The sequence below is a fragment of the Homo sapiens genome, chromosome 3 (assembly GCF_000001405.40).
Source record: "Homo sapiens chromosome 3, GRCh38.p14 Primary Assembly".
Taxonomy (NCBI): Eukaryota; Metazoa; Chordata; class Mammalia; order Primates; family Hominidae; genus Homo; species Homo sapiens.
Genome location: NC_000003.12, coordinates 72,977,284 through 73,000,404, shown reverse-complemented (window position 1 = coordinate 73,000,404; position 23,121 = coordinate 72,977,284). Strand labels below are relative to the sequence as shown.

At 43.3% G+C, this 23,121-nt stretch overlaps 1 protein-coding gene and 1 long non-coding RNA gene across 7 annotated transcripts in view, besides 4 other annotated features; one reads left to right on the top strand and one right to left on the bottom strand.

The window, feature by feature from the left end:
- Positions 1-3,662, bottom strand: part of PPP4R2 (protein phosphatase 4 regulatory subunit 2) — a 72,456-nt gene extending 68,794 nt beyond the window's left edge. For 4 of the 5 annotated variants that reach the window (NM_174907.4, NM_001318025.2, NM_001318027.2 and 1 more), the window contains exons 1-2: positions 3,334-3,594; positions 2,247-2,328 (exon numbers count right to left, since the gene is read on the bottom strand). In NM_174907.4, coding sequence (NP_777567.1) covers positions 2,247-2,328; positions 3,334-3,367 — 116 coding nt within the window. In that variant the 5' untranslated portion in view covers positions 3,368-3,594. The other variant, NM_001318026.2, reaches the window with a different exon arrangement.
- Positions 2,610-2,659: an enhancer, noted in NCBI's record as "active region_20097". NCBI's record gives its function as "activates an Ori minimal core promoter by ATAC-STARR-seq in GM12878 lymphoblastoid cells {active_cell/tissue: GM12878}" and the evidence as "EXISTENCE:reporter gene assay evidence [ECO:0000049][PMID:35858748]".
- Positions 3,110-3,739: a silencer, noted in NCBI's record as "silent region_14534". NCBI's record gives its function as "represses an Ori minimal core promoter by ATAC-STARR-seq in GM12878 lymphoblastoid cells {active_cell/tissue: GM12878}" and the evidence as "EXISTENCE:reporter gene assay evidence [ECO:0000049][PMID:35858748]".
- Positions 3,214-6,945, top strand: LOC124909395 (uncharacterized). 2 transcript variants are annotated; one of them, XR_007095961.1, is made up of 2 exons: positions 3,214-3,298; positions 6,483-6,945. It is a non-coding gene; the product is annotated as an uncharacterized LOC124909395 (long non-coding RNA). The 2 variants fall into 2 exon arrangements; XR_007095962.1 differs by lacking the exon at positions 3,214-3,298 and adding an exon at positions 4,778-4,998.
- Positions 3,920-3,969: an enhancer, noted in NCBI's record as "active region_20096". NCBI's record gives its function as "activates an Ori minimal core promoter by ATAC-STARR-seq in GM12878 lymphoblastoid cells {active_cell/tissue: GM12878}" and the evidence as "EXISTENCE:reporter gene assay evidence [ECO:0000049][PMID:35858748]".
- Positions 22,934-23,003: an enhancer, noted in NCBI's record as "active region_20095". NCBI's record gives its function as "activates an Ori minimal core promoter by ATAC-STARR-seq in GM12878 lymphoblastoid cells {active_cell/tissue: GM12878}" and the evidence as "EXISTENCE:reporter gene assay evidence [ECO:0000049][PMID:35858748]".

The window sequence follows — 23,121 nt, the reverse complement described above, 5'->3', positions numbered from 1 at the left end:
ACTTCTGTTAATGCTTTCTTGCTATAATGCATCAGTGAAAATAAAAACAACTATGAAATTTTTTTTTGAGACAGAGTCTCACTCTGTCACTCAGGCTGCAGTACAGTGGCACCAACCATCATGGCTCACTGCAGCCTCAACCTCCCACATTCCAACAATCCTTCTGCCTCAGCCTCTGGAGAAGCTGGGACTATAGGCATGTACCAACACACTCAGGTAACTTAAATTTTTTGTCCTGAGCTCAAGTGACCCACTGTTTCCCAAAGTGCTGAGATACAGGCATGAGCCACCACATCCGGTGGAAATGCTTATCTTAAGCAATCCACCCATCCTAAAACATCAGAAAAGTCTAAATTGCTGTTCTTTAAATTTTCATTTTCATTCTCTCGTTACAATCTCACATACTAGACAAAGCTTAGTTTAGCCATAAATAGGTAGCAGAAACTCTGCAAATGTCAGTATCAAAGATATGCCATGTTGATAAAAAGAAATCAAAGCTTAAAGCTAAATGCATAAACACTGGCTGCTATTTACATAATAAAATAAAAAATATTTTCCAAATTCCATTGAATATAAGAATCTAACTACACCAATCATTTCAGTACAAAACATGCTTAGTGAATACATAAACACCGAATATGGGGTGGAGGATTGGGAATTTTAAGTCCTCTTCTACCAGGATAAAATAACTGTCCAAAAAAAATCAGATAACTTCCCCAGCCACTTGGTGTTCCAGTAAGACAGGATATTAAAAAGCTATCTTTTAGAAACTTTCAATTATTTATACATTTATAGGCAATGTACTTTATCAAAAAGGGAAAGCAGTGTGTACAAACCTGATAAACTGAGTAAGACGTTTTAAGTACTCATCTCCAAATAGTTTGATATCATCTTGTATATCAAAAAACAGCCAAAAGTAAAATGCTATTTGGCTTGACATTGTTGACAGGGCTAAGTCTGTGCCGACTAGCAATTCAAGAGGAATAGTGGCAGTCTAAGCATTTATGTTTTAGGGATTAATTTATTTTTGAAAGATGGCATGTGGTCATTTTTAGGCTTATCTATATAAGCACAAATTAACAGTTTTACATTGTTCTAAATCAAGATGTTCTATATGAAACCCTAATGCGAAGGTAAAAATGACTTCCCCCGCCCAGAGGGTCCCATTTTTTAATGTAATAAATAGAAATACAACATTGAACACATCACACTGACGTTCTCAAAATGACTGGTGTATTTTAATAGAATACTAAGGAGACTCAGCTTGCAGGCATGACCATTAAATCAAGCACTGAGGCAGCAAAGGTTTTTTTCTTTCTAAAATTAGGCTAGTTGTTAAAAGGCTAGACTACAAATAAGCAAATCTTGTGAGAAATGAACACTTGCTAATAATAAAGCCAGAGAAATTATACAATTCTTGCTGAAAGCTACACTCATACTGGGCAGATAACCCACTTATTAACATTGAAACCATAGAAACCTACCCCTTTCCTGCTGCCCCAGCCCCCACCCAAAGACTACAAAAAGAAGTCATCAAAGATGCACTGTTGTCTACAAATAAACTTAGCCAGATTGTGTCTACCACACAAACTGCAAAACAATGACCTGGAATGTTCCTTCTGAACACAGCCCTAACTTTATAGCGTAAGTTTCAGATTCAGAACATTTGGAAACGAGCTGAATAAAATGCTGAGCATATGTAACAAGTCAGCTATCTTAGAAAGTCTACAAGTCAAAACTGTAGCATCTGGAATTTGTCAGATAATAACAGAGTCCTCCAGACGATAAATAGAAGTGACACTTTAAACACCTACATATGCAAATATGACCAAAAAAAGGCTGGACACACGACAATATGAGAAAATACCACCAAGACTCTGAAACAGAATCAAAGCCACAAAATTCTAGGAATAAGCCTATTTGTTATGGCCAAAAAGGGTCATAATGGAATAGGCATTCTTCCTTTCTCTGGCTCGTTAAGACTAATACATTCTCTAAGCGTGCCAAAGCCTAGCTATAAAGAAAATTTTAACATACACAGGTTTTTAAAATCCGTTACAGACCATGTATAAAGTAAGTAAGCGTATACGTTCTTTAAATGTAAATATATAAATTATTTAAATGACCAGGACTTCTACAATTTAGAATGAATTATTTAATTATCCCAAAATATACTTTTTTCCCTTTCCTGAGCAATTCTTAATAATGCACTGGTCTATAACGACAAATGCATGTTTTCAACTCACATTGTTTCTCCAGTCTTGGCTACATGACAAAGAAACTGATCCAGGACAGGACAAACTTCCTTTTTCCCCCTCTTCTCAAAATCTAGATGAAGGAAGAAAAAAAAACGTTATCAGTTTTCTCAAAAGCGCTCTAAAAACAAACTTTCCTCCTAGTCCTTTACCTTATTAAAAATCAATTAAATACAAAATTAAAAAAATAAGGCCTCTCAACCAAATTACCACCTCAATCCTCCAAGTTCTACTTCCAACATGTCACCCTCTTTACAGATAACAAGAATCCTCCTAAAGGGGGCACTCAACTTCACAAACCATTTTTAACGCAGTGCTTCTCGAAGTGTGGTCCGGGGGAACACCAGCATTATATTAAGCTGGGAATCCAGTGAAAATAAAAATCCCCAGGCCCCGACTCCCACCAATTGTTCATCTAAGTCCATAAATCTGCCTTTCTAAGAAGCACCAACTACCCCAAGTTGCCGTCCCCAAATGATTCTGAATGTCAAAGAATAATTCTCAAAACGCTGAAATCTCTCTACTCGAAGTTTGTAAGCCACTGTTCTCAAGCCTGTTGCGTGGAAGGCGTGCAATCAAGAACAGTGAAGGCAACCACCTCGAAATTAGGGCGCGGAAAGATGACTTCAAAAGCCCTGAAAAAGGCATACTGAGACAACTTAAAAGTTGCGATGCTACCCCCTACCCCCGCCCCCACCAACCGTTTACTTTTTCTCCCACCCCAACGCCTAGCGTACGGGTAGCCTGGTGGAGAAAAGAGGATATCTGGGAGGGAGGGGTCTGCGGGTCCGCCACTCGTCCCCTGAACGGGTGGGAGAAAGACTGGGGCCCCCGCAAGAGTTTCCCCGGCTCCCCTCCCCCAGCCCAGACGCCGGCGGCCGACACAAAGCCAGAGCGGGGCGGGAGAGAGCTGCCCACAGGGCTCCCCGCCCCTGGGGAGGTGGAGGGGGATGGGAGCCCGGGAAGCACTCTCCCCACGCCGCGCCCGGCCCCGGTCCTCGGAACCATCCGCCCTGAAAGGAGAGAAGAGCGAGCCGGAGAAGGTGAGGGGGAATGGAGAGGGGGCAGCTACCCCCACCTTTCAGCGCCTCCTGGAGCCTCTCGACGTCCATGGCTTCCCGGAGTCCCTCACAGCCTCCGCCTCCCTCCGCGGGTCTCTTGGGGACCGGAACGCCTCCCCCCACCCCCCCGACGCCCTCCCCCTCCCTCGCACACACTCCGGCACGCAGGCGACCGGGGGGGGGAAACGAAGGGAGCCGGGGGAAGCGTGCGAGAGAGCAAGACCGACAGAGCGAGCACCTCCCCAAGCCGCTACCACCAACCCTCCAACATGGCGCCCGGTACGTCACCGCGCGCACGCTCCCTGCCGCCGTCCTCGCTCCCGCCGCGCGCTCCGGCCCGGAACCCGAGAGCGCGTGCGCGGCCGAGGTGTGACGCTGGGGCCCAGTGGCGTCTGCGTCCCGGCGGCTTCCAGAGCCTCAGCCCCAGCCCCAGCCCCAGGCCCAGGCTCCGCGGAGCTGAAGACTGGACGGTCAGGCGAGAGGGTTGCAGGCGGACTCCTAGGCTTTGAATCCCTGCCATTTCCTCTCTGTGTGAACTTAAGCTACTTACTTCGCCTGTCTGAGCCTCATTTTCCCCATCTGTACAGTAAGGGCACTGGTACTGATGCCCTATGCAGTTGCTGTGAGAATTCAGTGTATACACTTCACGTTCAGAATGCGCCTAAAAAACGTAGAGCGAGGCCGGGCAGGGGGCTCAGGCCGGTGATCCCAACACTTTGGGAGGGAGGCCGAGGCGAGAGGATCGCTTGAGCCCAGGAGTTCGAGACCAGTCTGGGTAACAAAATGACCCCGCTCCCTCGCCCTTCTCTATATAAAAATAAATACAGGCCGGGCGCGGTGACTCAAGCCTGTAATCCCAGCACTTTGGGAGGCTGGGGCGGGCGGAGCACCTGAAGTCAGGAGTTGAAGACCAACCTGGCCAACATGGCGAAACCCCGTCTCTACTAAAAATACAAAATGTAGTCGGGCGTGGTCGCTCGTGCCTGTAATCCCAGTTACTCGGGAGGCTGAGGCACGAGAATCGCTTGAATCCAGGAGGCGGAGGTTGCAGTGAGCCGATATCGCGCCACTGCCTCCAGCCTAGGCGACAAAGCGAGACTGTTTCAAAAAAATAATAATAAAATTAACAATACATACATACACTAAGCATTGCTAATAATCCTAACAAGAATACCTCCCTGCTTAACCCAACGTTCGTTCGTCACTGGCCCACCTGTGGCAAGAAGTAATGTATACAGCAAAGTCATTAAGAGCTCAAGGTTTGGAATCAATATTCAAATCCCAACTCAACTACTTACTCCTTGTGTGGCCCTGAAGTAGTTACCTAAACTCAGGCAGCTTCAGGGTTCTTATTTATAAAATGAGGGTTGTAAAACGGCCACGAGGATTGAGTGAAATGGCAAATGTGAAACATTTGGCACAGTGCGTGAAACCTGGAACACTCAACGTGGCTGGGTTTTTATTACCACTGTTAGCATTATTACATGACATAATCTCCCAGGAGGTAGGAGAGGGCGGAAACCTCAGAAGTCCTCTGCAGCCCTGACATTTTACAAATGGGAAAGCTGTGTCACAGACAGCAAGTCTGGGGAGACAGAACTAGAACCCAGAACCCAAATCATCTGGCTCCCAGCCAGTGCGTGGACATTTTTATACTCATCTGTGAGCTTTTAAAAGAAAAGGTACTGCCCGGGCACGGTGGCTCACACCTGTATTCCCAACACTTCGGGAGTCTGAGGCAGGCGGATCACCTGAGGTCAGGAGTTTGATACCAGCCAGGCCAACATGGCAAAACCCTGTCTCTGCTAAAAATACAAAAAAAAAAAAATTAGCTGGGCTTGGTGGCGGGCACCTGTAATCGCAGCTACTCGGGAGGCTGAGGCAGGAGAATCCCTTGAACCCTGGAGGCTGAGGTTGCAGTGAGCCGAGATACTCCAGCCACTGTACTCCAGCCTGGGCACGACAGAATGGGACTCCGTCTCAAAAAAAAAAAAAAAAAAAAAAAAAAGAGAGAGAGAGAAAGAAAAGAAAAGGTACTGCGTTGTTCCACCTCCTCTTCCCAAAACCCAGCATAGCACAAAGTCATGGAAGGAAGGAGGGGAGAGAAGGACCAAGGGAGGGAAGGAAGGTTATTGTTTGGTCTAAGAAGATGCAAGTTTGGACACAGCCTTTACACTGTTGACCCTCTTAAAAGACAGTGGGTCTGACCCTGATCCTAGGTGGTAGATGTAGGCAAAAGACATTCACACCCAAAATAGCTCTCTCAAATTGTGCCATCAGAGAACCAGTCCCCTGTGTCTTTAGACCTTCGTTGTTCAGAGCATCTAGCTCAATTACAAATATCCTTGCAGAGAGAGGGAATAGGGTAGCACATCAAGCACTTGGCCAGCACTTGCCAGGCACCAGGTTTAGTTTATCCAGGTCCCTTCCAGTCTGAAAGGGCCTACTGCCTACATGGCAAAGCTTAGCCTCTCCTTCTATCTGCCACTCTACTATTCAGAAGGGTCTCTTACTGTAAGAGCTCTGCTGTACAGTAGATATTAGCCATGTGTGAATATTGAAATTTAAATTAATTAAAATTAAATAAAATTTAAAATTCAGTTCCTGAGTTCTTCAATAAAAATCCAATTCTTTTTTTTTTCTTTTTTCTTTTCCTTTTTTTTTTTTTGAGACGGAGTCTTGCTCTGTCGTCCAGGCTGGAGTGCAGTGGCGTGATCTCAGCTCACTGCAACCTGTGCCTCCCGGGTTCAAGCAGTTCTCTGCCTCAGCCTCTCGAGTAGCTGGGATTACAGGCTCCCACCACCACGCCCAGCTAATTTTTGTATTTTTAGTAGAGACGGGGTTTCACCATATTGTCCAGGCTGGTCTTGAACTCTGGACCTTGTGATCCACCCGCCGCAGCCTCCCAAAGTGCTGGGATTACAGGTGTGAGCCACCGCCCCTGGCCTAAAAATCCAATTCTTTGGTCACACCAGCCACATTTTAAGTGCTCAGTAGCTACATGTGGCTAGTGGCTCCTGTATTGGATAGTTCAGATAAAGAAAATTTCATTATTGCAAAAAGTTCTATTGGAACTTTCTGTTGGAGAACACATTATGCTAATTTCTAACACTGTTTTGTCCCTTTCATTGCTGTCAGCTTAACTGAATTTCTTATGGTTTTTCAGATCCCACCTGGTCTTCAGATAATCAAGGCTTGTGCCCCTCTGGTTAGCTCCTCCTCTCCAATGCACTTTGCTACATTCCTCTGCAAATTCAGATCTCTACTTAAACACCACTTCCTCTGGTACACTTTCCACGATTCCCTTAGGCTGTCATTGCTGTGTGCACTTTGTCGCCCGTCATAGACCTTATCCAGTGTCTGGAAGTCAAGATTACAAGGGGAGAAGAGGCAAAAGATGAGGCTGAAAAAATAACTTCGTTTGGTTCATTCCTTCCTTCTTCCTTGAATTCTTCTCCAGCCGGCCTGTATCACAATGTCTGCAATTACTAGAGCCTCCTACTGGCTGGGCATGGTGGCTCACACCTGTAATCTCGGTACTCTGGGAAGCCAAGGCTGGAGGATCACTTGAGACCAGCCCAGCAACATGTCTCTACAAAAAATAAAAAATTACCAGGGGTAGTGGCGCACACCTGTAGTACTAGCTACTTGGGAGGCTAGGAGGATTACTTGAGCCCAGGAATTTAAGTCTGCAGTGAGCCGGGATCATGCCACTGTAATCCATCCTGGGCCACAAACATAGTGAGACCCTGACTCAAAAATAAAAAATAGAATAATAAGCCTCCTACTGATGCCGATTTCCTGGGAAGAAAACAGAATACAAATGTGGCAACCAGCCCCCACAATTACCCCTCATGATCCTCACTTGCTGAGATTCATGCCCTAGTATAATCAGGCACACCAAATCACAGCTGTCTGTGTGAAGGCACTAGGGCTTCTGCCTTGGCCTCTTGAATTGGTAAATGGGGCCTCAATGGGGGAAGCCAGCTGCCATGTCATGAGAACATTAGACAGTCTTGTGGAAAGGCCCCACAGAGAGAAGAACTGTCCTTGAAGGTGGATCCTCCAGCCTCAGGAATTCCTTCAGGTAACTGCAGCCCCAGCTGACATCTGGATCACAACCTTAGCAGACATCCCACACTAGAGCAGCCCATCTAAGTCACTTCCCAATACCTGATCCACAGAAACTGTAAAAGGTGACAATGTCTATAACTGTTCTAAGCCTCTAAATTTTAGAAACTAATGCAACAAATAAGAAATTTAATAGTAACAGCTAATATTTATTAAATACTTTCATGTGTCTGGCATTCTCCTAAGCAGTTTACAAAACTATCAAAAAGTGTCTCCTAAGCAGTTTACAAAAGTATTTAATTGAATCCTCACAAAATCCTATGAGGATCCTCCTCACTTAACAGAAAAGAAAACTGAAATATAGAGGCCCAGCACAGTGGCTCACGCCTGTAATTCCAGCACTTTGAAAGGCCGAGGCGGGTGGATCACCTGAGGTGAGAAGCTGGAGACCAGCCTGGCCAACGTGATGAAACCCCATCTCTACTAAAAATATGAAAATTAGCTGGGCGTGGTGGTGGGCGCCTGTAATCCGAGCTACTCGGGAAGCTGAGGCAGGAGAATTGCTTGAACCCAAGAGGCAGAGCTTGCAATGAGCCAAGATCACGCCACTGCACTCCAGCCTGGGTGACAAGAGCGAAACTCAAGAAAGAGAGAGAGAGAGAGAGAGAGAGAGAGAAGGGAGGGAGGGAGGGAAGGAAAGAAGGAAAAGAAAAGAAAAGAAAGAAAGAAAAAGAAAGAAAGGGAAAGAAAGAAAACGGAAATATAAAGAGGTGAAATTGCTTGCACAAAATCACACAACTACATAGGCAGGTGACTGACCCATGATTCAAACCTAGACTGGCTTCAGAGCCCCCAAACACTTTCTTGTCCTCAAGAAGTTTGCAAAATACTAGGAAAGATAAGATGTAAGTGTAGGCCCTCATGCAAGGTAGAAGGCAAAGCTGTGTATCAGATATTCAGAGGCCTGCAAAATTTCTTCCAGGAAGAGATGGAAGGGTCTCACTTAAAGACTGGAAAAGATTTGTACGGACAGAGAAGAGCCCTCCTGGCAGAGGGAATGGTATTAACAAGGTAAACAGTCTGTGAGGGTCTCCAAGGTGCTCGGGAAAGTTGATGCATAGTCTCTTTTCCCCCACGGAGCTCATAGTCTAATAGGGGAGGTAGACCTTAAATAAATATGAACATTCAGGAAGACTGGCAAGATGAAGGCCCATGTTCTGGGTGTGCACAAGAGGGAAAAGGCCTGAACAGGGAGGAGACACAGAGTAGGCTGTAGAACATGGAGACACAAAGAGATGGGAGGGAGAAAACAGCCAGAACTATGTCAGATAACATGTGGGTGGATCTTTTTTTAACCCCAGGGAAAAGTACTGGAGCTTGGCTGTCCTTCTGAGATGGGTCTGTGGGAAGGGACAAGAAGAGACTGAAGAAAAATCTAGAAAAACCAATATCCAGTCTAAACAAGCTGCAGAACAGAGGACAGACTGGGTTACAATACCACTACACAAAGCTTTAGACGTTCTTTGATTCTCGTGGCTTTTTATTCATGCCCTGAAGTCCTTATTTGTATATATAATGGGTACCAAATGAAGTTGAGATAGGAAGATAAACTAAACTGAATACATTTTTCTAAACAAGTATGAGGGCAGTTTCACAAACCATCAGGCTTCACTTTTTTCCCAGAGACTTTCCACTTTTTTAGTGGAAACAAGGGTGACAAAGGGTCTATGCAAAAAACCATGGGTTGTTTTCTCTGGAGTCACCACAGGCATGATGGCTGCTGGTGGCCATGGTGGGTGTTTAAGAGCAGTGTCAGAGAAGGGAACTGGCAGAGTGAAGCTGCCTAGGTGGCCATCTTGATTAGGTCTGACTGTAGTAGTGGAAGTTGGCTTCGAGTTGTGTGAAAGAAAATGGGAATATATGAGGAGAGTAGGGTATTCCACAGATTAAGGACGCTCACTGAACCCAACAGCCATTCTCTTCTTCAACTCTGCACACTTTCTGTCTCTTTCTCTGTCTCTCTCTCTCTTTCCCTTTCTCCACACCCACACCCACACATCCTATAGGTTGTGTTTCTTTGAAGAACCCTGATTATACATATACAGTCATGTGTCACTTAATAACAGAGATAGATTCTGAGAAACGTGCTATTGGGCAATTTCATTGTTGTGCAAGCATCGTAGAGTGTACTTACACAAACCTAGATGGTATAGCCTCCTACACACCTAGGCTATGGTACTTTCTATTGCTTCTAGGCTACAAACCAATACAGCGTGTTACTGTCCTGAATATTGTAAGCAACTGTAACACAACAGTAAATGTTTGTTTATCTAAACATACCTAAACATAGAAAGGCATAGTAAAAATACAGTATTATAATCTTATGAGACCATTGTCATTTATGTGATCTGTTGTCGAATGAAACATTGTTATGTGGTGCATGACTGTATATACACAAATACACACACATATATATATTCGATAATTGAATATAATAAAATCAAATAGTGTATTAAGAGAAAAAGGTCTAAAATCAGATATCTAGTTTAATTCCTGGCTTATTACTTCCTAGCTGTTTGAATTCAGGTAAATGATTAATATCAAAATGCCTCAGTTTCCTTATGTATAAATTGAAGTTAATAGTGGTGACTTACTCATTGGTTTGCTGAGAGAATTAAGCCAGTGATCTGACTCAATCAATATTAGGTATTGTTCATACTTACATAGGTTAAGAATTACAAAAATAATTTATGGTTTTTCTTTCTCTTTTGAAATGATTTCAAACTCACATAAAAGTTGCAAGTACAGGCCAGGCGTGGTGACTCAAGCCTGTAATCCCAGCACTTCGGGAGGCTGAGGCGGGCAGATCACTTGAGTTCAGGAATTCAAGACCAACCTAGCCAACATGGTGAAACCCCGTCTCTACTAAAAATACAAAAAATTCACCAGGCATAGTGGCACATGCCTGTAGTCCCAGCTACTCGGGAGGCTGAGGCAGGAGAATTGCTTGAACCCAGGTGCTGGAGGTTGCAGTGAGCCAAGATCTTGCCACTGCACTCCAGGCTGGGTGATGGAGCAAGACTCCATCTCAAAACCCAACCAACAAACAAACAAGTTGCAAGTACACTACGAACATTTCTTTTCCTGAACTATTTGAGAGTAAGTTGCTGAAGAGATACTCCCAACCCCCCGAAAACTTTAGTATATAATTGCTAAACATAATGGTGCAACAATTATTATTATACAACAATTGAGGCCGGGCGCAGTGGCTCACACCTGTAATCCCAGCACTTTGGGAGGTCGAGGCAGGCGGATCACGAGGTCAGGAGATCGAGACCATCCTGGCTAACACGGTGAAACCCTGTCTTTACTAAAAATACAAAAAATTAGCCGGGCGTGGTGGCGGGTGCCTGTGGTCCCAGCTACTCGGGAGGCTGAGGCAGGAGAATGGCGTGAACCCAGGAGGCGGAGCTTGCAGTGAGCCGAGATCGCACCACTGCACTCCAGCCTGGACGACAGAGTGAGACTCCATCTCAAAAAAAAAAAAAAAGCAATATATGTAGTTTATTCTATTTCAATTGTATCTTAAAAGAGTTGTACAAAAATACTGACTCCCTAAACACAAGTCAGAAATTAAAAAAAAAAAAACTAGAATACAATGCGTTTAAAATACATACCTTAAAAGGGGAAATAGGGATAATAAAAGCATTGGGGGATTTTTGGAGTTAAAAATAAATCACCCAACTATGTTATCATTTGTAATAAAATTAAAGTAATAGCCATGCTACAAACTGGAGGAGAAATGTTATAAACCTTGAATATGTAACATCATAATAGCTAGTAAAATCCAATGATGAGAGAAAAATAAGAGAATATATAAGTATGCTAAATTCTAAATACTTTGTGCAGAGTTGATTCAAACTTTCCAAAATAGAAACAGAGATTGGCCGGGCACAGTGGTTCATGCCTGTAATCCCAGCACTTTGGAAGGCTGAGGCGGATGGATCACTTGAGGTCAGGAGTTCGAGACCAGCCTGGCCAACATGGTAAAACCCTGTCTCTTCTAAAAATACAAAAACTAGCCAGGCTTAGTGGCAAGCACATGTAATCCCAGCTACTCGGGAGGCTGAGGCAGGAGAATCACTTGAACCCAGGAGACGGAGGTTGCAGTGAGCTGAGATCGTGCCATTGCACTCCAGCCTGGGCAGCACAGCCAAAGCTCCATCTCAAAAAAATAAATAAATAAAAATAAAAATAGAAACAGAGATGAAGGGCCAGGTGCAGTAGCTCATGCCTGTAGTCCCAGCACTTTGGGAGGCCGAGGTGGGCAGATCACCTGAGGTCAGGAGTTCAAGACCAGCCTGGCCAACATGGTGAAACCCCATCTCTACTAAAAATACAAAAATTAGCTGGGCATAGTGGCTCACGCCTGCAGTCCCAGCTACTTGGGAAGCTGAGGCAGGAGACTCGCTTGAACCTGGGAGGTGGAGGTTGCAGTGAGCCAAGATCACACCACTGCACTCCAGCCTGGGCAACAGAGGGAGACTTGGTCTCAAAAACAAAACAACAACAACAACAACAACAACAAACAGAAACAGACGTGAAGAAGGAGTAGAGCGGGGAGGAGAATAATTATTCTTACGGTTAGTAAACTTAGACACAATATAGGTATTATTATTTAAGTTTTTTTTTTTTTTGAGACTGAATTTCACTCTGTTGTCCAGGCTGGAGTACAGTGGCGGGATCTCGGCTCACTGCAACATCTGCCTCCCGGGTTCAAGCAATTCTCCTGCCTCAGCCTCCCAAGTAGCAGGGATTACAGGCACGTGCCACCACGCTCAGCTACTTTTTGTGTTTTTAGTAGAGATGGGGGTTTCACCATGTTGGCCAGGCTGGTCTCAAACTCCTGACCTCAGGTGATCCTCCTGCCTTGGCATCCCAAAGTGCTGGGATTACAGGTGTAAGCCATCTGCACCCGGCCAAAATTCCATTTTTTATTCACATGAACAAAAATTACCAATTGCAAATGACAAGACAAAGATTTGAGTTCAAGTGGTCTATTTGGGGGCCAAATCCAAGAAAACACTGGCAGGAGTGGGGAAGTGTGATGGGGATGGCAAGAAGGCCAATAAAGAATATATATTATTAAAGAAGTTACTACTGTGGGCAACTTGAGCTTCTTCACACTGGGAAATTCTGGGATGCAATTCTGGAACAGACCAGAGTTACCCTTCCAGAGAAGATGAGGAGCTGAGGTATTTATCTACCAACTCCTGTCAGTCAGTGATTGTTACTACTCCCAGAGGTGTTAATTTCCCAATACTTTGAGCCTGCCTGTAGGCAAGTGGAGCAGGCTGCAGTGGCAGAAGGGAGCCTTCGGGCAGAGTCACAGGTTGGGAATCAGAATTTTGAGCTGGCATGCATGGAAATAATGTATGTTAAGGGAATAAGACAGGGCATGCTATGCTGGTCATCTATTCTGTGCCAGAAATTGTGGGTTCTAAATAGGCAGATGGCAGCCTTAGGAAGCTTAAATTCTGACACACCATACACCAACTATTTTCTTAATTAGTTATTGACTTTATTTGAATTTCCTCTCATTTGAGCACGTATTGGTTTTATGTTTTAAAACCTCCATACACATACAAACAATAAATATCAGAGAAGCTGTTATAAACGGTGATCAAGTTTTAAACATTTAATTTTTTTTTAAACGCTACTATCGGCCGGGCGCGGTGGCTCAAGCCTGTAATCCCAGCACTTTGGGAGGCCGAGGCAGGCGGATCACGAGGTCAGGAGATCGAGACCATCCTGGCTAACACGGTGAAACCCCATCTCTACTAAAAATACAGAAAACTTAGCCTGGCGCGGTGGCAGGCGCCTGTAGTCCCAGCTATTCGGGAGGCTGAGGCAGGAGAATGGCGTGAACCCAGGAGGCGGAGCTTGCAGTGAGCCGAGATCACACCACTGCACTCCAGCTTGGGCGACAGACTGAGACTCCGTCTCAAAAAAAAAAAACAACAAAAAACAAAAAACAAACAAACAAACAAAAAGCTAGTATCAGTCCTTTTACTTTTCTTTCAACTGTGTGCTTGCAATCTTTTCTTTTCTTTTTTTTTTTTTTTTTTGAGATGGAGTTTCGCTCTGTCACCCAGGCTGGTGTGCAGTGGCGTGATCTCGGCTCACTGCAACCTCCGCCTCCTGGGTTAAAGCAACTCTCCTGCCTCAGCCTCCCGAGTAGCTGAGATTACAGGTGCCCGCCATGGTTTCTGGCTATTTTTTTTTTTTTTTTGTAATTTTAGTAGAGACTGGCATTCTGCCATGCTGGCCAGGCTGTTCTTAAACTCCTGACTTCAGGTGATTCACCCACTTTGGCCTCCCAGAATGCTGGGATGGATACAGGCATGAGCCACTGTGCCTTGCCGCTTGCAATCTTTTCTAATAACAATAATTTAGAAGAATTCAATTTCCTAATATGATATTTAGACTTGCATTGTCACTTGACCCAGAATAGCAATCCTGAAAAAAGAAATGCTATTGTTTTGATAAACTCTAAGTGCTCCATAATGAGACAGGCATAGGTGTTCCCAGGTGTCTCTTTATAGTTACAGCCTATATGCATATACATGACATAGAGCCTATATAAGTATAGTGGATACATCAACATTTATGATTTTGACTGTCACCTCTAGGAGTCTATGGGGACTGTGGAACTGAGGAATTGTTGAAGTGCTCTTGTCCAACAGATCAAATTTATGATAAGGAACCACCCCCTCCCAAATCATTCATTCATTTTAGATTATTGAATTGTTTCTGGTACGAGGGGTTTATTTGGTTAATGATAGTTTTCAATGAGGGGAAAAAGATATATTATAGTTGTCTTAAGTTAAACACCAGGAGAACAATTTTCTTGATATTTTGACCCAGGTTGGCAATACCATTTTTCATCTGAACATGGAGACAAGGTATTTTTCCAAAGATGGAATGATTCTATTAAAATGACATGAAAATTTTATGGCTGGAATCCTAGAAGGATGTGTGGTTTTCAATAAAATATTAATGAAAAAAGCATTGTTAAAATGATACATTTCCCTTGGCATCTTTTGAGCCTTTGAATATAGAGCTATTTCCAGATTTTTCACTTACACAAGACCTTTTTTTTTCTCTGTACTTGTTTGAGTTGTGTTTGCTGTCACTTACAATTTAAAGAGTTTTAATGACTAAAGAAATTGGTACCAGGAGTGGGGTGGTTTCCAGGCAGCCAAAATCCCACAAATATCTATTATAGAGCTATAAAAAACAGATTATGGAAATAGAGAGCATTTACACAAAAAGGAACTTTAACCTCATCTGACCTAACCATGTCATTTTATGAATAAGTAAATAAACTGACTCAATCAATACATTCTCTCTCTTTCTTTTTTTTTTTAGGGACACGGTCTTGTTCTCTCACCCAGGCTGGAGTATAGTGGTACAATTACAGCTCATTACAGCCTTGACCTCCTGGGTTCAAGTGATCCTCCTGACTCAGCCTCCCAAGTACCTAGGACTACAAGCATGCGCCATCACTCCCAGCAAATTGAAGTGTGTTTTTTTTTTGATATGGGGTCTTGCCATGTTGCCCAGGCTGGTCTTGAACTCCTGGCCTCATGATCCTCCTGCCTAGCCTCCCAAAGTGCTGGGATTACAGGCATCAGGCACCACACCTGGCCTCAATATACTTTCACCGACTGAGACTTTATTTATTTATTTATTTGAGACAGCGTCTCACTCTGTTGCCCAGGCTGGAGTGCACCTGGCCTCAACATACTTCCACTGAATGAGACTTTATTTATTTATTTATTTATGTAAGACAGAGTCTCGCTCTGTTACCCAAGCTGGAGTGCAATGGTGCGATCTCGGCTCACTGCAACCTCCACTTCCTGGTTCAAGCAATTCTCCCACCTCAGCTTCCCAAGTAGCTAGGACTACAGGTGTGCAGTACCACGCCCGGGTAATTTTTGTATTTTTAGTAGAGACGGAGTTTCACTCCCACAGTGCTGGGATTACAGGTGTGAGCCACCAAGGCTGGCTGAGACTTTATAGGATGGGTTATTATAGTCCAGCACCAACATTTACAGGAAAAGTAGTTTCTGAGAACACTGAAAATCAATACAGGGTATTGTGAAGCTTTGCCAATAGGAATTGGTCCCAATTCATGATGCAGATGAATAACTTCATTTATTTATTCCTTAAAGTTTTTTTTTTTTTTGAGACAGAGTTTTGTTCTTGTCACTCAGGCTGGAGTGCAATAGCACGATCTCGGCTCACTGCAACCTCTGCCTCCCTGGTTCAAGCGATACTCCCGCCTCGGCCTCCTGAGTAGCGAGGATTACAGGTGCCAACCATCATGCCCAGCTAATTTTTTTTTTTTTTTGAGACCAAGTCTCACTCTGTCGCCCAGGCTAGAGTGCAGTGGCGCAATCTCAGCTTACTGCAACCTCCACCTTCTGGGTTCAAGCAATTCTCCTGCCTCAGCCTCCTGAGTAGCTGGGATTACAGGCACATGCCACCATGCCTGGCTAATTTTTTTATATTTTTAGTAGAGATGGGGTTTCACTGTGTTAGCCAGGATGATCTCGATCACCTGACCTCATGATCCGCCCGCCTCAGCCTCCCAAAGTGCTGGGATTATAGTCATGAGCCACCGCGCCTGGCCTAATTTTTGTATTTTTAGTAGAGGCAGGGTTTCGCCATGTTAGCCAGACTAGTCTCAAACTCCTGACCTCAGGTGATCGCCTGCCTTGACCTCCCAAAGTGCTGGGATTACAGGCATGAGCCACCGCGCCCGGCCCTCAAATATTTTTTGAGCATGAGAAATGTGTTGGCTGGCCCTCAAATATTTTTTGAGCATTGAGTTGATGATGGGCATAGAGCAGAGAACAGGATCAGCAAGGACCATACCCTCAAGGAACTATGTGTCTACTGGGGCAGGTATTCAATAAATTAATATTTTAATACAAATAAGTATTATTATTGTTATAATAATGCAAATAAAAAGTGCAGGTTGATATGAGTCAATATAAAACAAGGACCTGCCCTTATGTGGCATAATAAGAGAAGGCTTCCATGAGGAAATGGCATTTAAATTCAGACCTGAAAGATAGTGGAAATTTGCCAGGTGAAAGAAGGTGCGAGGCAAGGTGTAGGATTCCAGGTACATACGAAAACCCTGTGGGAGGAAAAAAGCTTGTATACTTAAAAGAGAAAACAAACCAGCATAAATAGAAATTAGTGTAGTGGGGGAGAATAACTCAAGATGAGAATAGGGAGATAGGAGATAGATTATACAGGAACTTTCTGAAACATTTGTTTTTCTTTAGTTTTGTTTTTGAGACAGAGTCTCACCCTGTCGCCCAGGCTGGAGTGTAGTGGCACAATCTCAGCTCACTGCAGCCTCCATCTCCCGGGTTCAAGTGATTCTCCTGTCTCAGCCTCCTGAGTAGCTGGGACTACAGGTGTGCACACCATGCCCGGCTAATTTTTGTATTTTTAGTAGAGATGGGGTTTCACTGTGTTGGCCACGCTGGTCTCAAACTCCTGACCTCAGATGATCCACCTGCCTTGGCCTCCCAAAGTGCTGGGATTACAGGCGTGAGCCACTATGCCTGGCCTCTGAGACATTTGGAAAGGAGCTTAGGCATTATCGTAAGAGCAAAGGGGAATATGGGGTAGGGGTGGGTTATGGTTTAGAGGAAACCAGAGGGAATGTAGAGAGTGAAGAGAGACATAGGGCACAATGCAGGCTGGAGATGACAGGGACTCAAAGGGTTCTGAGCAGAGATAGCAGTAAAGATAAAAAGAGGAAGCTGACTCAGTTAATATTCAGGAGGTAGACATAGTCCATTCTCTTCTTTTCTGTGCTAGTTTGAGCTGTGTTTGCTGTCAGTGGAAATTCAAAGGGCTTTAACTTACCACAGAAATCGGTACTGGGAGTGGGGTGGTTTAGTGGCAAAGTAATGATTTAGTGATGACAATGATGTAAAACCAGGGGGAGGAAAGAGACAAGGATAATGCCCAGGTTTCTGGGATAAGGCAGGGGGTAGGTGTTAGTGACATTTATGACTTAATGGAACAATGAAGAAGGAGAAGGAAGAGAAATATGAGATTGTGATGAAAGAGGGTGAGGCTGCTTTTGAGCTGTGTTCCAACTAAAGGACTTGATTAGGAAGCAAACAGAAACAGGACTGCAGTGAGAATTGTAAAGTGCAGCCAGAGAGTCACGCTTTTCTAGCTAAGTTCCTCTAAAAAGATAAAGAAGGCAGAACTTCTGCATATGAACCCCCTGGGAAGTAAACATAGGACATCATGGTAGACTGGTAAATTGTCATTCCTTAAATCTGATATTTAAAAAAATCTATTAGCCATTTATTTAGTTGAGGCAGGGAGCACAAATAAGATATTTTTAATATTCTGAAATTTCATGTTTTGCTTTATTTATTGTTTTTGAGAAAGGGCTCACTGCAGCCTCAACCTTCTGGGCTCAAATGATCAATCCCCTCAAGTAGCTGGGACTGTAGGCGCATGCCACCATGTCCAGCTAATTTTTTGTATTTTCGGTAGAGACGGGGTTTCGCCATGTTGCCCAGGCTGGTCTTGAACTCCTGAGCTCAAGCGATCCACCTGCCTCAATCTCCCAAGGTGCTAGGATTACAAGCATAAGCCAGTGTGCCTGGCCTCATGTTTTACTCAAATGCACCCAGACTTTACTTTTCTACAGTAACAATGTAGATGTGATAATAAAGCATGCTTTTAAAATTAGCAAGTGCTTTGAATCAGCATTATGCTAAAAGTCTTATTTTTATATCTCTTGTCACAATAACCCTTATAAGGTAGACATTTTAATGTCTGTTGTTTAAGGCACAGAGAGGTTAAGCTACTTCTACAAGGTTACACGACTAATAATTTATAAGCTAGGATTTGAGTCCAAGTTTATCTGAATATAGAAAGTTTTTTGTTTGTTTGTTTTTTGAGATGGAGTCTTGCTCTGTCGCCCAGGCTGGAGTGCAGTAGTGCATTCTTGGCTCACTGCAACCTCCACCTTCTGGGTTCAAGCAATTCTCCTGCTTCAGCCTACCGAGTAGCTAGGATTACAAGCGCCTGCTACCACGCCTGGCTAATTTTTGTATTTTTAGTATAGACTAAACATGGTTTCACCATGTTGGGCAGGCTGGTCTCGAACTCCTGACCTCATGATCTGCTTGCCTCAGCCTCCCAAAGTGCTGGGATTACAGGCATGGGCTACCGTGCCTGACCTTTTTTTTTTTTTTTTTTTTTTTGACAGGGTCTCACTCTGTTGCACAGGCTGGAATGTAGTGGTATGATCATGGCTCACTGCAGCCTTGACTCCCCTGGCTCATGATCCTCCCACCTCAGCTTTCTGAGGAGCTGGACTACAGGTGTGCACCACCGCACCCACCTAATTTTTAAAAAAAGATTTTTTTCTTGAGAGATGGGGGCTTGCTTTGTTGCTCAGGTTGGTCTAGAACTCCTGGCCTCAAGCAATTCTCAAGCCTCAGTCTCCCAAAGTTTGGGATTACAGGCATGAGCCACGGTATTTGGCTTAGTCAGTTATTTTTGATGTGTGTACTAGCTAGCAAGTTAGGCTCAATTTTGTTAAATAAAATGTAGGAACATAGATAACTAATTTTCACATTCTTCAAACTCTATTTATTCTATCTTAAACACAAAACACCATTAAAACCAAATAACATCATTTGTAGTATGGCATTCTTAAAAACAAAGCAAATTTTAATGATTTTTTAAAATAGACTAAGCTAATTACTAAACCAAATATTTCATTACTTGTTATAAGAATTTAAATATTATTACTTATTGTAAATGTTTAAACTTGAAATCTTATATAAAAGAAACATACCTCCAGAATAATACCCAAAGACATGTTTTTAAAGCTTTTATTTAAAAAAAGGGTAAAACAAGAGATGACATTTTAAAAAGACAAGACAGTAATTAAATCATAGTACCGTGTCCCTTTTAATTTGCCATAATAATTCCTTTTCTTTGGAGTATTCATTTTTATGCTCATTTCTTTGCAAAGAAAAATTACAAAAAAAATGTTTTCCAGTATAAAAAATGAATACGGGGCCAGGCGCGGTGGCTCACTCCTGTAATCCCAGCACTTTCGGAGGCCGAGGTGGGTGGATCACCTGAGGTCAGGAGTTTGAGATCAGCCTGGCCAACATGGTGAAAGCCTGTCTCTACTAAAAATACAAAAATTAGCCAGGCATGGTAGCGGGCACCTGTAAATCCCAGCTACTGGGGAGGCTGAGGCAGGAGAATCACTTGAACCCAGGAGGTGGGGGTTGCAGTGAGCTGAGATCGCGCTACTGCTCTCCAGCCTGGGCAACAAGAGCAAGACTCCATCTCAAAAGAAAAAAAAAGGATTTGGGGTCTCCTTGGGAGCTATAAACAGTAGATGCATTTTTTCAGTGACAACATGAACATGTGAAACTGATGAAGCAGAAATTGTATCTGATTCTTACATGTTCATGCATATGGTGATAGAAGCACAAACACTTTATCTTGCAGACAAGAGAATATTGCCAGTTTTGACCTATGAAGAACAAAAACTAGGACAAAGCTCTCTGTCAGAGAAATCTCATCATTTTTCAATACCACCAATGCAATTGTGAAATGATTTGACCTAAGGTTTATCTATAATTCCTCAGTTCACAGGTACAACAAATATTGGCTCCTCCTTTTAAAGGCAGTGTGTGTGTATGTATGTGTGTGTGTGTTGTGTTGATTGATTTTTTTTTTTTTTTTGAATTCTGGAAAACTCTTAACATAAAGATTTGGTCTAAGGGTCAGAACTTTGTTCTAGCCTGCAAGGGATCCCTAAGTTCTGTCATTCTACCACTAAAGCCAAGCTTCTTGGTTCTCCTCAGAAGCCTACATCATAGACAGAAACGGAAAGGCAAAAATGAAAAAGAGGAATATGAAAAAGTGGGAGAGAAAAAGAAAAACATGAAAAATTTCTCTATAATTCTATTAAGTGAGAATATGTCAGCTGGGCACAGTGGCTCATGCCTGTAGTCCCAGTACTTTGGGAGGCCAAGGCAGGTGGATCACTTGAGCTCAGGAGTTTGAGACCAGCCTGGCCAACATGGTGAAATCCCATCTCTACTAAACATTCAAAAATTAGCTGGGCATGGTGGTGCACACCTGTAGTCCCAGCTACTCGGAAGCCTGAGGCATGAGAATCGTTTGAACCTGGGAGGCGGAGGCTGCAGTGAGCTGAGATTGTGCCACTGCACTCCAGCCTAGGTGACAGACGGAGACTCCATCTCAAAAAAAAAAAAAAAAGAGAGAATATGTCCTGTGTTAGCTTGCTTAGGAAATAAAGAGAGAGAGAGAGAGGGAGGGAGGGAAAGAGAGAAAGAGAGAGAGAGAAAGAGAGTGAGAGAAAGAGAGAGCAAGAGAGCAAGAGTAAGAAAGAAAGAAAAAGAAAGAAAGAAAAGAGGCCGGGCGCAGTGGCTCACGCCTGTAATCCCAGCACTTTGGGAGGCCGAGGCGGGCGGATCACGAGGTCGGGAGATCAAGACCATCCTGGCTAACACGGTGAAACCCCTTCTCTACTAAAAATACAAAAAATTAGCTGGGCGTGGTGGCGCCTGTGGTCCCAGCTACTCGGGAGGCTGAAGCAGGAGAATGGCGTGAACCCGGGAGGTGGAGCTTGCAGTGAGCCGAGATCGTACCACTGCACTCCAGGCTGGGTGACAGAGCGAGACTCCATCTCAAAAAAAAAAAAAAAAAAAAAAAAAAAAAAGAAAGAAAGAAAGGAAATATGATTTGTGCTGTCATAGAACTCAACATATTTCTGATTTCAGTGATGAAATCATGTTCATGTTGGTTTATCAAACACATGTAATTTATCTTTTATACGTATAAATATCAGATAATAATGTATAAATATCAGATAATATTTATACATGAATCTAAATTTGTATGAATGTCCTGCTTTCAGGCTGGGCTGCGAGTGATTATTTTGTTACTGGATCATTATTTTGTTTTCAATCACTGTGAATAATAATGTTTTGTATGATTTGGTTTATTTGTTTTTGCTCATGAACACCATAACTGCAAATAAAAGAAATACTCTCAAACGTCTGAGTCCATATAAATACCCATTTCAATACCAAATTTGGTAAAAGTCACAATAATTTGCAATGGAAGCACTGAATATGAACTAGACATATCCCATAAATAGTAAAGCTTGGAGCTTTGTATCCAAAGTGCTAAATTGCCATTTTGGAAGTTGAAGAAAAACTTAAATTGCTTTTCTAGCCAGTTAATTGTTTAAATATTAGAATTTTCAATGTAAGCCATGATTACTGAGATTTATATTGGAGAAACACTCAGCAAGAAAAATATTGGCAGCATTTCCAGTGACACTGCTGTTGAAAAACCTCAATCTCGATGCATATAAAAATACTGTCACCTTTTGCTATCAGAAAGTGCTCTTTTCTTCTTTAATGGAAGTCCATAGTTATATGCATTAAACAGAAATTAAAAAGAAATGAGTAAAGAAGAAAAGAGAGGGAAGAGAGAAAAGGCAGGGCAGGAGGAGAGGAGAGAACTGGCCCACCTTCTTCCCAGTATTCTTTTTTTTTTTTTGAGACGGAGTCTCGCTCTGTCGCCCAGGCTGGAGTGCAGGGGCGCAATCTCGGCTCCCTGCAAGCTCCGCCTCCCGGGTTCACGCCATTCTCCTGCCTCAGCCTCGCGAGTAGCTGGGACCACAGGCGCCACCACGCCCGGCTAATTTTTTGTATTTTTAGTAGATACTGGGTTTCACCGTGTTCGAAAGGATGGTCTTGATCTGCTGACCTCGTGATCCGCCCGCCTCGGCCTCCCAAAGTGCTGGGATTACAGGCGTGAGCCACCGTGCCCGGCCCTTCCCAGTATTCAATGTGGCATATGGGGCAGCACCACCTCTGGCAAACTTTAAACCAGAGAGTGCATGTTTTAGCAGGCCACTGAATTAAAATTTGTGGCTCCTGGATTTCAAAGGCGGTTAATGTAGTAATTTGCTGGGAGTTATCAAAGGCAGAGAAAATATTGCTCCATGGTAATATCCTAGCTATGGAAAATAATTAGCACTTTCAGGCAGCAAGGATTAGAAAAGCAAATTTTCTCTGAATTCTCTGCCAAATTCAGCTAAAATTTCAGGATACAGCACAGGAATTCCAAGGCAGACAACCGCACGAGGTTCTAAGGTTTCACATTCTCAAAATTCATCATTCTAGAATGTTCTAGGGTGATATCATTGACCTTTGCGGGCAACCCTTTTCTGCACAGTCAGACCAGTACTGGTAGTTGAGAGTTGTGGGTAAACTTGGCTCTCATAAAAAAGAAAGGCATTGTATTTCAAGTCTTTACAGTAGATGTTTTTGTGGGACTTATCAAAGGAGAGAAGGAACCTCTTTGAGTTGGTGAGCCATCAACAAATCTGAGTGCCATTTGTGTGTTTCACTGGCCATTCTGAACAAGTAGAAAGGAAACTAGGATGGAAGTTAGGAAATTATGTTCCATCCTGGCTCTTTCACTAAAACCCAATTTATGGGTATATAAGATGCAATTTCCCCTATGTGAAAGACAATTCAAAAATTGCTCCATATCATACGTGTCCATACCACAAATGGAAAGCCTAGTACTAAAGTTACAAAATAATGATG